Source organism: Homo sapiens, chromosome 13 (assembly GCF_000001405.40).
Source record: "Homo sapiens chromosome 13, GRCh38.p14 Primary Assembly".
NCBI classification, from domain to species: Eukaryota; Metazoa; Chordata; class Mammalia; order Primates; family Hominidae; genus Homo; species Homo sapiens.
The window spans coordinates 28,309,844-28,325,196 of record NC_000013.11 but is presented as its reverse complement, the minus strand read 5'-3'; the positions used below and the strand labels follow the sequence as shown (position 1 = coordinate 28,325,196).

Sequence of the window (15,353 nt, the reverse complement as noted above, 5' to 3'; positions counted from 1 at the left end):
GTTTGGGTTTGTGCGTCCTTTGTTTTGAAGAGTTTGCTTCCTTCTCTGGCTATATTTAATGATTTGCCTCCCTGTGCAACTTGGTGGAGCTTAGTGTTTTTGTGGAAAATCCATGGCTGTCTTTCATATTTGGAAGATAAAGGTAAAGGAAAGGCAAAACCAAAAGGCTAAATTGAAAATGGAATACTTCATTTTCCAAATAAATTAACTGGGATCCTTAAATATGGTTTGTAATAAATTCACTATATTCTGCCAGAGTCCCAAGAGTTCAGTAAATTACCTTTATTTAACAAAAGTGGTACTGATAAGCAAAGCTGAATATACAATTGATTGGGAGTCAGGAAGGGAGTGAGAGAGCCTGAGTTTTGGTCCTTGGAGACATGCCTAGGCTGTGACTTTTGGGTGCCGTGGGGAAGAAGGCTGTCCAGGGAGAGTTTTCACATGCAGAGCCCTGAGTGAGCCTGTGGAGCATTTTTCTCCCCATGCTATTGCCAGCGCTTTCTCTGATGCCTTCTGTCCCACAAAGGATCTTGTGAAAAATAAAATTCCAGTCCCCAACTGAACAGAATCCAATATAACTGCATTGTGGAAACACAATAACAAATAGTGAAAGTCTTTACCTGCCCTCAGGTGGGTTACCTGCAATGGCAGTGGGTATTCACTCTGAGGCCTGCCTCCCTCTGCAACCCCGGAAGGTCTCTTTTCAGGGGCTGGGAACCTTGGTGCCCTTTTGGCTTTTAGACTAGGTTAGGGCTGTCCCTCCTGAAGCTTTCTCCCAGTGCTCTGCTTGCTCCCACTGTGCCCTCTAGTGGAGGGATCACTCTTGCTTTGTGACATTTCTAGAAAAGCCCAGGAAGGATGGGGTACGCGGGTTAATCCTAGAACTGCCACACCATGCAAATGGATCAAGGGACACCACTGAACTCCAGTCCCTCTCTGCTTCTGCCTCAGTATTGCTGTCTAGCAGAATCTAGGCTACAAACATGGTCTTGTTATAAAGCCACTGAAAGTGCTAGGTTTTAGAGTGTCATAGTTACTAGATGAATTACAAAAGGCAATAAAAATCTTTTCTGGTTTCCCATGAACACCCAGAACTGACAACTCCTTTCCTATGAATCATAAAATAATAGTATAATAGAGCTTTTCAGAAGAGGATAATTAAACTCAGAAAAGTAAGGTGACTTGCCCAAGATCGCATGATTAATGGAAGAGCCAAATGAACCAGGGCTTGGATGTGCAGTCCAGGGTGAAAGGCCATTGCTACCCTTGTTAGGATCAAACTGTATCTTTGTTTAAATGGAAGAGAAAAAAAGCAATGTCCATGTTCCCTCCTTCCCCAAAGAAACCTGAGAAATTGGTAACTATAGCCTTCTCTTATAACTCCTCCTAGGGATTACAGAGTGAAGCACCAAGCACACTGAGGATCCTTTCCTCTCAGTGATGTCATCCTTCACAAGATGGCGTGTGGCATGGAAAAGTGGTTAAGGGCACAGATGTGGGCATCGACCAATCCTGGGTTCAAGCTTTGCTTTTTTTTTTTTTTTTGAGATGGAGTTTTGCTCTCGTTGGCCAGGCTAGAGTGCAATGGCGTGATCTCGGCTCACTGCAACCTCCACCTCCTGGGTTCAAGCAATTCTCCTGCCTCAGCCTCCTGAGTAGCTGGGATTACAGGCATGCACCACCATGCCCGGCTAATTTTGTATTTTCAGTAGAGACGGGGTTTCTCCATATTGGTCAGGCTGATCTCAAACTCCCGACCTCACGTGATTCACCTGGCTCGGCCTCCCAAAGTGCTGGGATTACAGGCGTGAGCCACTGTGCCCGGCCAGCTTTGCTATTTATTAGCTGCATGTGAATTTGATTACTTTACTTCTCTGAACCTGTTTCTCCATGTATAAATAAGAACTACTTCGTAAAATTGTTGGAAACACTAAACAAGAAATGTACCTAAAGCTTTTAATATACCAGCTCACACAGAGTAAGCATTCAGTAAATACCCACCACTCTTAATTTTTTTTTTTTATCTGATCTAAGATGCTGTCTAGAAGCCCAGGCAAGAGCACAATAGACTCTGCAACTCCAGAGGTAGTCAGGCTCCTGGACACCGTAGGGCCCCTGTGCTAGTTCACGATCCATTTTGAGAAGTGAAACGCTCTCATTTCTCATCAGGCGATTGCCAGTTGAGGGACTGGTTTCCCACTGCTGTGCTGGAGCTCCTTTTCACCTGGGTCCTTTTCGGTCTCTTCAAAGGATGCAGCACTACACATGGAGCCTAAGAAAGAAAAAATGGAGCCAGGCCTGGAACAAGGCAAGAAACCAAGACTAGATAGCGTCACCAGCAGCGAAAGCTTTGCGAGCTCCGGCTTTCAGGAAGATAAAAGTCTGAGTGATGTTGAGGAAGAGGAGGGTAGGTATTAATTCCTTCCTGTCCTACGCGCTGAGATATTTTTACAACATACTATGCATCTCTGAAATTTTTTTCTTATTTATCACTCTAATAAACATCCGTGGGAGACTCGAATGGTAATGTCCTGAGGAGATAAGATTTGAATTAAGATAATTTACAGAGTTACTAATTTTGACAGGGAACTGTACCGTTTTCTCCCCTCAGGGATTTTCATCTTAATGGATCATCCCCCTGCCCCCATGCTTGGATAAAGTGGGCTGGAGGCCTGGAAAAATCTCTGGTGTTCATGTTGAAACTCAAATACTCTTAAAAATGAACTCTGATCTACTTGTTGGTTTGTTTTATGTTTTGCTAACATTGTTCCAATAAACTGGGATTTGGTGGGATAACAAGAGCCATTACAAACAGTTACGGTTCTAATGCTTTCCAGATTCTGACGGTTTCTACAAGGAGCCCATCACTATGGAAGATCTGATTTCTTACAGTTTTCAAGTGGCCAGAGGCATGGAGTTCCTGTCTTCCAGAAAGGTCAGTCTTGCTGTTTACTGTTTTTCTTCTCTGCCAGGGCTGGACACACACCTTTGCTATAAATTCATTTTTCCTAGTATTTGCTGATACCTATGTTCTTAAATGTAGAACAAACACCACTGCAAGTGCCTTAATTTGCCTTGATATGAGGAGTTTTGAGAATGAGGAGTCATGGATACCAGTGGATAGAACTTAATTCTGGGGAAAACTCACAGGTTTCAGACTAGACAAACCTGGCATCGGCTCTCCACAGTATCCTCTGGCATATTTTCAAATCTGGCCCAAATCTCAGAAGACATGACTTCATAGGAGAGCTACTATTAATATAGCCATATAGGGCCCTCCCACAAAACTGCAGCTGGAGAAAGATCTCATCTTGGCAGCTCAGGATAAAAGACTGTGGGGAAAGTTTGCCCACTGGTAAATCTTAGATAACCAGCTTCGCTGATCAAATAGTAGCCCAGTGGATTCAGACCATTTCTTGACTTTGAGGGCTTGGGGACCTGTATTTGTAGAGAGGCTCTTCATGTTTATGGTAACTCTGTGTGCACCGAGAGGTGCTCCCTTCACAGCATGTGAAATGGATTCCCAAATTAAGATAATGACACTGACAGGTGTAGGAAATTAGTTGGTTAGGTTAAGGAAATGCATTGATTATGCAACTGTTTTATTATAGTGCATTCATCGGGACCTGGCAGCGAGAAACATTCTTTTATCTGAGAACAACGTGGTGAAGATTTGTGATTTTGGCCTTGCCCGGGATATTTATAAGAACCCCGATTATGTGAGAAAAGGAGATGTAAGTCAGTTTGATGTTTATTTGACTCATGTGTGTCCTATCACTTTTAAACCACAGACTTGGTAAATATTTACACTTCCTCAGCTGTAGTCCCTGAAAACCATCATTGGCTTTCTGTGAAGACAAACAGTCCAGATGAGCGGCATCCCAGAGAGCCCTTGTGTAAGGCTCAGAAAGGCCACTGTCTCCTGCTTCTGCTCTTCCCTAATGCCTGGCCTCCCACCTGTCCTTTGGGCAGCGCTGCGTGAGACTTGCTAACCTGAGAAGTGTTTGGTGGGGCCTGGGTGAGACCTTAGCATTACCTTCCTTTGAATCCTGAGGGAATTCCTTGTACCACTGAAAAGAACAGCCTGGACTCTTTCCCTCAAATAAACCCAGATGATTGATTCAGCAGGTGTATCTGTCTCAGGAAAGGGCGGGGAAGACCGTCAGCAGTAGCTGACTATGGAGGAGACTGTTTACCTCCCATGGCCTTCCATGCCTAGCATCTCCCCGCTGGCTCGTACTGGCTTCTCTTCCCTGCTTGTTTTTAGACATAGTGTTATTTTTCACTTTTGTGGATGACCTCCCATGTCCTCCCTTCTCCTTAACCCTCAGCCTATATACCCTGAGGGTTAAGCTTATGTCTGGGCGCCAATGAGTTACAGTAGTGGTTCCCAGCTTAATTGAACATACATATCACCTAGAAGGCTTGTTACGCTACAGTGTGCTGGCCTAACAAGCCTTCCACCCCCCAGAGTTTCTGAGTCAGTAACTCTTGGGTGGAGCCTGAGAATTTGCATTTCTAACCAGTTTCTAGACCAGGGGTGTCCAATCTTTTGGCTTTCCTGGGCCACATTGGAAGAAGAAGAATTATCTTGGGCCACACATAAAATACACTAACACTAACAATAGCTGATGAGCTAAAAAAAAAAAAAAATGCAAACAAATCTCATCATGTTTTAAGAAAGTTTACGAATTTGTGTCGGGCTGCATTCAAAGCTGTCCTGGGCCACATGTGGCCCGCGGGCCAGGAATTGGACATGTTTGTTCTAGAAGGTGCTGACACAGCATGTCCCAGGACCATACTTCGAGAGCCACTGCACCAGAATCTGTTGTATAGAAGGAAAACATATGACTTCACATTGATCCTTTGTAAAAATAAAAAAATAAAAATAAAGGAAAACAGACTTTCCTTGGGGCCCTGGTCTGGAGAGATGGCACCAACCTTCATGTTAGTCCTCCCCTCCTTTCTGTTCGTCTGTATCTGAGTCAGCCTCCCTGCCCCTCCCACTTCCTTTCTCCTTGTCTCTCCTTTATCCCATACCTCCCATCAATCCCCATCATCTAAAGTGGTGAGGCCTAACTCACTGGGATTCCTGCTATCTGAAAGAGAGGAAGATTTGTCTACATGTTTGAAAACTAACTGTATATTCTCTTTCAACACTGACTTCTTTCCTTCTTCTCTTCTTTCTGATGCTTTTGCACACTCTCCCTATTCAGTGACTTTGGAAATCTTGTCTTTTTGCATAGGAATGCTTTCAAAATCCTCCTTTGGAAAAATTTTTGGAAACCACCACCAGTTTTCAGGATATCTTCAAATTCAGATCACTCTTTTCCTTTTCCAAGCCCTGAGTGTGTCCCTGTGGAGTGCAGGCTTTCTTTGTGGGGGAGGATTTCTCACAGAGCTATGCAGATAAGGACATGCTGAACACATCAGAGGGGCTTACTGAACATATACTGCCTTCATGGGACTCAGTATAGCACTCTAGCTCCCTCTTTTAGCGTAACACTGCATACTATGGTGTTCTCTATGTTAGGAAACCAGAGCTGCTCTCGGAAATGATTTATAGGCCGTATGTTATCTGGGAGGTGACCCCATGGACACTCGGGTTGAATGTGCTTTGTTTTCATGCCCTTCTGCTCAAGGCCCCCTTGCCCTCTTCTAGACTCGACTTCCTCTGAAATGGATGGCTCCTGAATCTATCTTTGACAAAATCTACAGCACCAAGAGCGACGTGTGGTCTTACGGAGTATTGCTGTGGGAAATCTTCTCCTTAGGTAAATTTGGGAGAAGGAAGAAATCAAACAGCCCAGAAATAAATGTCTGCATCTTCTGCTGAATGTCCTTTGGTTAGACAGCCTTTAGATTAGAACCTACTGTAACAAAAAACTCTTAAAGTGTAATGGGCCCATGTAGACTCTCAGATGAGTAATGGCGTACGCATGTCTGCCCTCTACTGTAAAAGGGCTTTATATGATCATGAACAAGGTCAGAACAAGGTCATGTAAAAGGGCTTTATACGATCATGAACAAGGGTATAAAGTCTGAAGCAAAGTACTTTTTCTGTACTTTGCCCAATTCTGTCCTTTTCCAATTCCTCAACACCCACACCTCTAATGCCCTTACCGCTTCCCTCCCCGCGTCTCCCACCACCTCAGAATTTCTTCCTAGGAAAGGCCATAACAAGCTCAGCTGCCCCAGCGAGGAAGGTGTTGTTAGAAACAGGAGACCTTTCCAGTGCCTCTGATATGAACACATGATATGGCTCTGGACACTGGTTTATACAGGATAAGCAATAAACAACACTGGTTGTATTTATTCTGCTTGCAATAACATCCACTATGGGTGGCTGGAAGTCCTGTTCAAAGCACACAGATGCGTGCAGAGCCCACATCTGCTTGCAGACACACAGTGATGATCTGAGGCCTCTAAAACTCAAGTTCTCGCCAAGAGTCTTTTGGGCTTTGCCAAAAATTTGCCTTTCACAGCAAATAAAAGTCACCCAGTAACATCCCTGGTTTCCTGTAATGTGTGAAAATCATTCCCCTGCTTTCGATGACAGGCACCTGTTGCTTCCAGTCTTTGAAAGCAGCTTGGCGGCTGCAGTGGTCCTGCGATGACACGGTGCCAGCACTGCACGCCTCCCAGCTGCTTCCTACCAGCAGTAATCACTAGAAAATGCACACAAACAAATGCTGAGGTAGATGAGGCTGCAGGGCTAGAGCAAGAGTGCATTAGAAGGCCTTGCCACCCCCAGCCCTGGCAAGAATCCCCCCAAAAGGAAAGGTTGCAGGGGAATCCTGGGCAGTAAAGCTGGCAGAAGGCAAAGCCTAGGCCTCTCTGGCGCCCTTAGGTCTGCAGACTCCTGGCCACGGGCAGCCCCCACCCCATTCCACTCCATTCAGCCCAGCCCTGGAGCGCAAAGCCCCCCTTCCCTCAGGCCTGTCACAACTCCTAGAGCCCTGGTACTATAGGAAGGTTGCAAGAAAGTGAATTAAAGTCATTCCCACTCAAGTGTGAATGATTCCTATGTAGCCTATCCCAAGTCTATTGGCTTTTTAAAAAGAAGCCCAAGCCAAGTGTGGTGATGGTGAGCACCTGGAGTCCCAGCTGCTCGGGAGGCTGAGGTGGGAGGATTGCTTGAGCCCAGGAGTTCGAGGCTGCAGTGAGCTAAGATCATGCCACCACACTCCAGCCTGGTGACAGAGGGAGACCCGTCTCTTCAAAAAAAACAAAAGCTCACTAACCCAAAGGATGAGTCTCTAATGATGGGACTTCTTTAGTTACTTGTGGGGAGAAGGCAAGGACCCTTCAGACGACACCCCTTCCTCTGACCACACAGGCAGAAGTAGCCATAGGAATAGCCTGTGAGCACCAGGTGCCCCGCACCATGTGACCACCCAACCAAGCGGGTGTCCTTAGCAAGGATTTGCTGAGCTTCTCTGTGTGTTGTACGGTATGTTGAGATCTGTTGTAATCCCTGGGAATTTATTACTAAAACGTAGCTTTAAAGGGAGGAAAGAAACACTGAATTGTCCCCTCTTGGTCTTTTGTACCCTTAAGCCATAACAGGCCCTGTGTTTTCCACATTGTCTCCCGCAGGTGGGTCTCCATACCCAGGAGTACAAATGGATGAGGACTTTTGCAGTCGCCTGAGGGAAGGCATGAGGATGAGAGCTCCTGAGTACTCTACTCCTGAAATGTGAGCCCTTGGTGCCCTCTGCTCCCCATCTGACAGCTCGCTTTTCACCAGGGCATTCCTGAGAGGGGATGTTTTATGGATTCTTAGAGTCCCAGTCTTGGAAGATGCCAAGGTTCTTCTTTCCTTTAGAGATGCTCCCCTCAGCCCATCAGGCCCAGATATGCTGGGAGTGTTTTCTTGCAGTGGGGCACGTGGCCCTTGACCCATCCCTACCTATTTCCTGTCCTGACCACTGACATGACTTTTCAAGGGCTCTAGCTGGGAACTGAAGTTAGAAATTCAGTTTCTAGGTATGAATCCAGGCAAAACAAACAGACCACCCAGGAACTGAATGCAAGACCTTGGCCTCACTCACGGAGTGGGAGCCAAACAGGCCTAGCAGCCCCAGGGATGGAGGGCTAGACCTTGGTCTTGTGACCAGTCCTGTGTCTGCACAGAACACCCGTGAGGGGGTTGATGTGGTCTGCAGAACAGGTCTTGGAGAGGAAAAGGGGAACTTCCTGATGTCATGATTATGCTTCACAGAAGGCTTTGTGGGCAATACAACTTCTTTAGAATCCTTTGGGAGGAATAGGGGCCGGGCGCAGTGGCTCACATGTGTAATCCCAGCACTTTGGGAGGCAGAGGCGGGCGGATCACTTGAGGTCAGGAGTTCGAGACTAGCCTGGCCGACATGGTGAAACCCCGTCTCTACTAAAAATACAAAAGTTAGCCGGGCCTGGTGGCAGCTACTTGGGAGGCTGAGGCATGAGAATCACTTGAGCCTATGAAGCGGAGATTGCAGTGAGCCAAGATCACGCCACTGCACTCCAACCTGGGTGACAGAGTGAGATTATGTCTCAAAAAAAAAAAAAAAAAAGAACCTTTTAGGAATAGGCCCAGCAGCTGTCTGAAGCTGCCTGGTCAGATGGCTTTTCGGGTGTCCATGTGAGGCTTTCTCCACTGTGCAAATTGCACTTGCTTGCCTGTCTTGGACACTTTTTTTCCTGGGGCTTTGTGGATGTTTTGCACTTTGAGGCCTGAGCAGGAATGTGATGACACTTGCACTTTTGTGGAGCTGCTGACAAGGACTTGGGCCTCCCTGAGGCGGCACCACCTTTCCTGAACTGGCAGGGGCCCTCCCATTCCACCCACACAATGGGGTCCTGTCAGAAGCCCTGGCTGGCCTTTCAGAAGGAATCAGAGGGAATGCAGGAAGTGTGGGCTTGGCCAAAGGGCAAAGTCACTGTCTCTTTCCTTCATCATCTCGGGGTAAGGGTAGGTCAGACCCAGGATGGGGAACTGGACGAGGTGGACAGGAGACTCAGGCCCAACAGCAGGGCTGGGGAGCTCTGCCTGAGCGTAGGGAAGCGGGAGGGGACCTGTTCTTGTCACTGGTGCGTGGTGTCCTCATCAGAAAAGTACAGGGAGCTGAGGCAAGGCCTGTTTCTGAGAGCTGGGGATAGAGCTAGATGATTAACTTTATGATTTTCTAAGTGTTTTCCCACACATAGTCTCATTTGAAGTTCCCAGAGACCTTGAGGGGTGGTCAGGGCAGCTATTGTAATCTGAATTTAGCAAGTAATGAAACTGAGATGCCGAGAACTGAAGCAATGTGCCGTCTGTCAGCTGAGAAGCAAAGGAGACATTTAGAACCCAAGCCTCTGGACTGATGTCCCTAGACCACGGCTGATGAATTAGGAACAGACCCCACGTTCCTCAGTAGAAATGCTTCTCTGATATGGCCACTCATGCTTTGAATTAAATATGTCCTTCCAATCTTCATATAGTCTGAAAATCTCGAGAAAGTTCTCAATTACACTAATAGTTGTTATTATTAAATAACAATATTTTTACATCAAAATAAATGCAAAACAGTATGAAATTAAGTTTTATTTTTACTTCCATATAAATTCTAAATAGTATGAAATTAGTTTAGTTGGGTTTTTTTGTTTGTTTTTTTGAGATAGTGTCTCGCTCTGTTGTCCAGGCTAGAGTGCAGTGGCGTGATCTCAGCTCACTGCAACCTCCACCTCCTGAGTTCAAGTCATTCTTTTTCCTCAGCCTACTGAGTTGCTGGGACTACAGGCATGTGCCACCACGCCTGGCTAATTTTTATATTTTTTTGTAGAGATGGGGTTTCTCCATGTTGGCCAGGCTGGTCTCGAACTCCTGAGCTCAAGTGATCCACTGGCCTTGGCCTCCCAAAGTGTTGGGATTACAGGCGTGAGCCTCCATGCCTGGCCTGAAATTAGTTTTTATTATAACAGTATTGAATAGTACTGATTAAATAGTTATTTGGTGCTTATAAGTGCCACTATTTTAAGCATTAATTTATTTAATGCTCATAACAGTCCTATAAAGTAGGACTACCATGATCCCCATTTCACAGATGAGAAAACAGGCACCGCACATGTAAGTGATTTGCTCAAGCCTGCGTTGGTAATAAGCGAATTCAGCTTGAGTCCAGAGTCCACAGCACCATCCTACACTGCTGCAGAGTGTGTTTCCCATTCATACCCAGGCTGTGGTCGCAAATAACTCAGAGGTACAAAGTCACATCAGCTTTGGACCAAAAACTGCTTTGGACTTTCTCAAACCTTCAAGTCTTTACATAAACCTCGCTCAGGTAGCTCCCGTGCCTCAGGTGACCTAGAGAGAGTGGTATGGTTCCTTAATTCTGAGGAGGGAGAGATTTTAGAAATTTTAAAAAGTAAGAAGCTCTGTGAAATATTTCCTCAGAAGGCCAGACTTCAAACCTTCAGCCATTTTCTCCAGCATGTGAAAGCTGATGGAGTAATTTCCTTCTTGTTTGTTCTAACAGTAGGAAGGGCTGGGTGAGGACCAAGTGCAGCTTCTCAGAACTGGGATTCTGTGATCTGAACTTGGCCTAAAGCGGTGTGTATTTGGGAACTTGGGTGATAGCTTGGAAAGAAAACTTTCTGGGGGCCCCTCATCCCCAGCTTGGATGCAAGCTAATGTCTCATAACTTTACTAAACCCATTTACTTAGTGGTACAAAATCTTGTAACATTGAGTTGTTGGTTCCTGGCCCAGATACTGTTGAATCAGATGTCTTTCAATAAGGGAATAAGCAATGAATTTTTTTATTTTTTTTTTCTTTTCATTTGATGTTTGCTGAGATGATTTGCATTGGATTTTAGGCAAGAAGAGTGGAAACTAGAAATCGGAATCCAAGAGTCAAAAGTAACAAACAGCAAGTGGTTGTAGATGGTTCCGTTTACGAGTGTCAGCAGGGAAACTAGGGAGTGTCCTGCTCAGGATGGTGCATCTCCCAGACAGCAGCTTGATCCTGTGGGGAGACGATGGTGCAGGAGGAGACGAGCCCAGAGCCTCTGCCTGAAGGCCTCTCTTTGGAGCCCAGCCTCAACCTCCCAGGCTCAAGTGATCCTCCCGCCTCAGCCTCCTGTACTACAGGGACTACAGGCATGCATCACCATGCTTGACTAATTCTTGTATTTTTTTGTGGAGATAAAGTCTCACTATGTTGTCCAGGACGATCTTGAACTCCTGACCTCAAACGATTGTCCCACCATGGCCTCCCAAAGCATTGGGACTACAGGTGTGAGCCACCACACCCGGATTCTTCTTTTTTTTTTTTTTTTTTTTTACCTCCCTGTATTCTTACTGCCTTTGGCAGCCACCTCATATACTTTGAAACAAAATAGAAATATACTTAAGAGATATCTGGAGCCATTGGCGCCCCCTAAAGGCATACCTCTAAGAAGTGTCAGAGGGAGGATATGAACTAGGGTTTCTCAGGTTTTTTCCCCAGCAACCGCCATCTCCCAGCACAAGTAATGTCTGCAGTACAGCTGAAGAATTCACAGAAGGAGCAGAGTTATCTCTTCCCGGAGACCAGTCTGACTTCTTTTAGCAGATATTTATTGCCCTGTGGTAGGCGAGAGGTGTGGAAATGAGGCCCAGCCCACATAGTGCTTACAGCCCAATTCCCACCCAGAGCCAAATTCGGAGCCCATTCAGGTTTGAGTGTAAGTCAGAGTCCCTTCTCATCCAGACCATCTTCTGAGAGAAGAGTTAACATATAATAAACATCCCTTGAAGAGCACAAGGTTCAAGAAGAATCAATTCTTAATGCAGTGTGTGTATGGACCTCTGGCCTGTGTTTTTCAGAGAGGGCGGTAGGTACAGACCTCGATTCCGTGCAGACATGACCAAGAGAGGAGCCTGATACCTTTACATCTAAAATGTAAAGAAGAGGCCGGGCGCAGTGGCTCACGCCTGTAATCCCAGAACTTTGGGAGGCCGAGGCTGGTGAATCAATTGAGGCCAGGAGTTCGAGACCAGCCTGGAAAACATGATAAAACCCCATCTCTACTAAAAATACAAAAATTAACCAGGTGTGGTGGTGGGTGCCTGTGATCCCAGCTACTCAGGAGGCTAAGGCAGGAGGATCGCTTGAACCTGGGAGCCGGAGGTTGCAGTAAGCTGAGATCATGGCACTGCACTCCAGCCTGGATGACAGAGTGAGACTCTGCATCAAAATAAAAATAAAAATAAAAATAAAAATAAAAATAAAAATAAAATGTAAGAGAAGAATCACAGAGGAGTCTGTTGACATTGGAATCCCAGGACAAGATTTGACCTCTGTGCTATTAAGACAAATGTTTTCATTATCCAGGAGCCCAACCTGTGCTGTGTGCCTTGAGTGGTGGGAGGCCAGTTTGTAACAGCGGCTTTGCAGTGCTGGGGGAGAATGATCAGCTACACACAGGAACCTTGCTCACAGCCCCGGAAACTCCACACTGTGGGCTTCACCTTCTGGAAGTGACAAAGTCATGTACGCAGGACCTTCCCCACCAGTCTCCACTGCTGAGCCCATAAAGGGAGGTGTGAGGACTTGGAAATGCCACATGCTTTTTAAGAAGCCAGCTCAAACCAACCTTTGTTACAACTCGAGAATGAAATAAGTACTACAAACTATTCAGCCATTGATATTTATGGCTGTATGACTTTTTTTTTTTTTAACTTTAAGGACATCGTCCTACTTCTGTAAGTGTGGGGAGGAGTACTCCACTTCACATTGAACTGCAGTGAGCGGTGGGGTTTCCTTTCCGAATTGCTGTGTTTCATTCACAGAACTCAGACCTTCCATCTGCAGAGGCCACAGGCACAACAAAGAACCTGGGTATCCATGAGCTCTGGTGGGTTGGTTAGTCTGCCTTGGTAGACGTGTTTTCCACTGACCACAGGACCTGGCCCAGACAGCCTTTTAAGTGCTGGTGCTATAAACCCAAACCTAAAAATGAAGCAGGGTCACATAGTACAGAAAGCTTGGGCTTTATGCGGATGATGACAGCCCTCCCTTTGTAGTACGTAAGGCAATGCATAGGATGATCACTGCTCTCCAACTATTTCTGTTGCTGTTTTCCCCACCAGCTATCAGATCATGCTGGACTGCTGGCACAGAGACCCAAAAGAAAGGCCAAGATTTGCAGAACTTGTGGAAAAACTAGGTGATTTGCTTCAAGCAAATGTACAACAGGTAAAACTAAATTTATTTACATCAAAATGCCTTTGAATGTACGTCAGGGGGGCATTTTATTTGTTTTTTTTTTAAGAGCTATTAATATAATAGCTGAGATCAGAAGTTTAAAAAAAGGGTGTGTGTGTGTGTATACAGAATTATCTTCTCAAAACACAACCAAGATTGTGCAAATGACATAGTCAAAGTTGACATAATGGTTCATAGAAATTGTTGAAGTCAGAATTGGTGCAACGAGAGCTCTACCTTTGGTATTTTAGGATGGTAAAGACTACATCCCAATCAATGCCATACTGACAGGAAATAGTGGGTTTACATACTCAACTCCTGCCTTCTCTGAGGACTTCTTCAAGGAAAGTATTTCAGCTCCGAAGTTTAATTCAGGAAGCTCTGATGATGTCAGGTAAGATTTCTTTCTCAAACTTTATATCACAGAATTTTCCAACAAAAAAAAGAAGGAAAGAAAGACGAAAGAGAAAGAAAGACGAAAGAGAGAAAGAAAGAGAGAAAGAAAGAAAGAGAGAAAGAAAGAAAGAAAGATTATGTTGATCACCACCCATATGCCCATCCCCTAAATTCAACTGTTAACATTTTGCCCTATTTTGTCTATTATACTCTCTATGATTGTGTTTGTTACGGATTTTTCTTTTTGCCAAACCATTTAAAAGGAGGCTTAAGGCATAATAGCACTTTACTCCTAAATACTTTAGTATACATTTTGGAAGAAGGCTATTGTTGCTGGGCACAGTGGCTCGTGCCTGTAATCGCAGCACTTTGGGAGACTGAGGTGGGAGGATCACTTGAGCCTAGGAGTTCAAAATCTGCCTCGGCAACATAGAGAGACCTCATCTTACTAAAAATTTAAAAATTAGCCGGGTGTGGTGGTGGGCACCTGTAGTCCCAGCTACTCAGGAGGCTGAGGTTGGAGGATCACTTGAGCCCAGGAGATGGAGGCTGCAGTGGGCTATGATTATGTGACTGCACTCAAAGAAGGACATTCTCCTGTGTAAACCACACCAAAATTATCGCACCAAATAAATTCCTTAATGCCATCTAATAGTCAGATTTCCATAATTCCACCCAAGTGTCTTTACATGTTTTTTTTAAAAGCAGGATCCAATTAAGAATAACAGATTACATTTTCTTAAGTTTCTTGTCTATCTTATTCTAGAACCTTCCCCCATCTTTTCTTTTCCCCATTACATTGAATTTTTTGGTGAAACCTTAGATAAAACTAAACAAACAAAGCGAGCTGTGTTTTCATTTGTTTTGCTTTGTTTTGACCTAACAAACGCATCTATCCCGTATTACTGCAGAGGGAATTGGAGAAGGGGCAAGGCAAGGGAACAAATATGTACTGTGGCCACTGCTGGCCCGGGGACTGCACTTCAGGACTGATAGTTAGGCGTGCACGAAACCTGGGCAGGGATGACGGTTACACAGACAAGTGCTGGGTCTGGCAAGGTGCTAGGCTTTTTCCATGTATCAACTCCTCTTACGCCCAGAGCAGTCTTGGGAAGAACATATCATTCCCGTTACACAAATGGGGACCTTAAGGCTCCCAGAAGGAAGGCTTGCCGAAACTGTGTGGCTAGAAAGTGGCAGAATAATTTTCTAACCCAGGAGTTCTGACCCTCCCTCCCTGTACCCGATGCAGTCAGGACTCCTTTTAGGGCCTCCAGACTGTACTATGGGCCTCTAGCATCTCTCTTTGCAGTAGGCACAGCTCTCTGGCTCTAACCTCAGTTCAGCCACCAGGGAAGATATGGGAAGAAGCTGCAGCAGTCAGAAAATACTGCTTGCGGCCGGGCACAGTGGCTCACGCCTGTAATCCCAGCACTCTGGGAGGCCGAGATGGGTGGATCACCTGAGGTCAGGAGTTCAAGACCAGCCTGGCCAACATGGTGAAATCCCATCTCTACTAAAAATACAAAAATTAGCTGGGTGTGGTGGCACGTACCTGTAGTCCCAGCTACTCAGGAGGCTGAGGTGGGAGAATCACTTGAACCAGGGAGGCGGAGGTTTCAGTGAGCCGAGATCGTGCCACTGCACTCCAGCCTGGGTGACAGAGCAAGGCTCTGTCTCCAAAAAAAAAAAAAAAAAAAAAAGGAAAAAAGAAAATACTGCTACCCACCTGTGACAGGCCTCA

General features: G+C 45.6%; 1 protein-coding gene and 1 long non-coding RNA gene across 2 annotated transcripts in view, besides 2 other annotated features; one reads left to right on the top strand and one right to left on the bottom strand.

The window, feature by feature from the left end:
• The window catches only part of FLT1 (fms related receptor tyrosine kinase 1), a 194,783-nt gene that overhangs the window by 169,932 nt on the left and 9,498 nt on the right, over positions 1 to 15,353 (top strand). Inside the window, exons 21-27 of the mRNA NM_002019.4 lie at positions 2,251 to 2,407; positions 2,838 to 2,935; positions 3,612 to 3,734; positions 5,663 to 5,774; positions 7,600 to 7,699; positions 13,099 to 13,204; positions 13,465 to 13,607. Coding sequence (NP_002010.2) covers positions 2,251 to 2,407; positions 2,838 to 2,935; positions 3,612 to 3,734; positions 5,663 to 5,774; positions 7,600 to 7,699; positions 13,099 to 13,204; positions 13,465 to 13,607 — 839 coding nt within the window. The remainder of the gene's footprint in view (positions 1 to 2,250; positions 2,408 to 2,837; positions 2,936 to 3,611; positions 3,735 to 5,662; positions 5,775 to 7,599; positions 7,700 to 13,098; positions 13,205 to 13,464; positions 13,608 to 15,353) is intronic.
• Positions 1,769 to 2,968: an enhancer, noted in NCBI's record as "BRD4-independent group 4 enhancer chr13:28896366-28897565 (GRCh37/hg19 assembly coordinates)". NCBI's record gives its function as "activates an origin of replication core promoter dependent on BRD2, P300/CBP, MED14 and CDK7 cofactors, and independent of BRD4, by STARR-seq in HCT116 cells {active_cell/tissue: HCT116}" and the evidence as "EXISTENCE:reporter gene assay evidence [ECO:0000049][PMID:35650434]".
• Positions 3,731 to 4,025: a silencer, noted in NCBI's record as "tiled region #10890; HepG2 Repressive DNase matched - State 8:EnhW, and K562 Repressive non-DNase unmatched - State 23:Low". NCBI's record gives its function as "represses a minimal TATA promoter and a strong SV40 promoter by Sharpr-MPRA in HepG2 and K562 cells {active_cell/tissue: HepG2 | K562}" and the evidence as "EXISTENCE:reporter gene assay evidence [ECO:0000049][PMID:27701403]".
• On the bottom strand, positions 6,279 to 12,436 carry LOC124903141 (uncharacterized). Its single transcript, XR_007063736.1, has 3 exons — positions 12,350 to 12,436; positions 11,417 to 11,590; positions 6,279 to 6,668 (listed from the first exon to the last, which is right to left on the bottom strand). It is a non-coding gene; the product is annotated as an uncharacterized LOC124903141 (long non-coding RNA).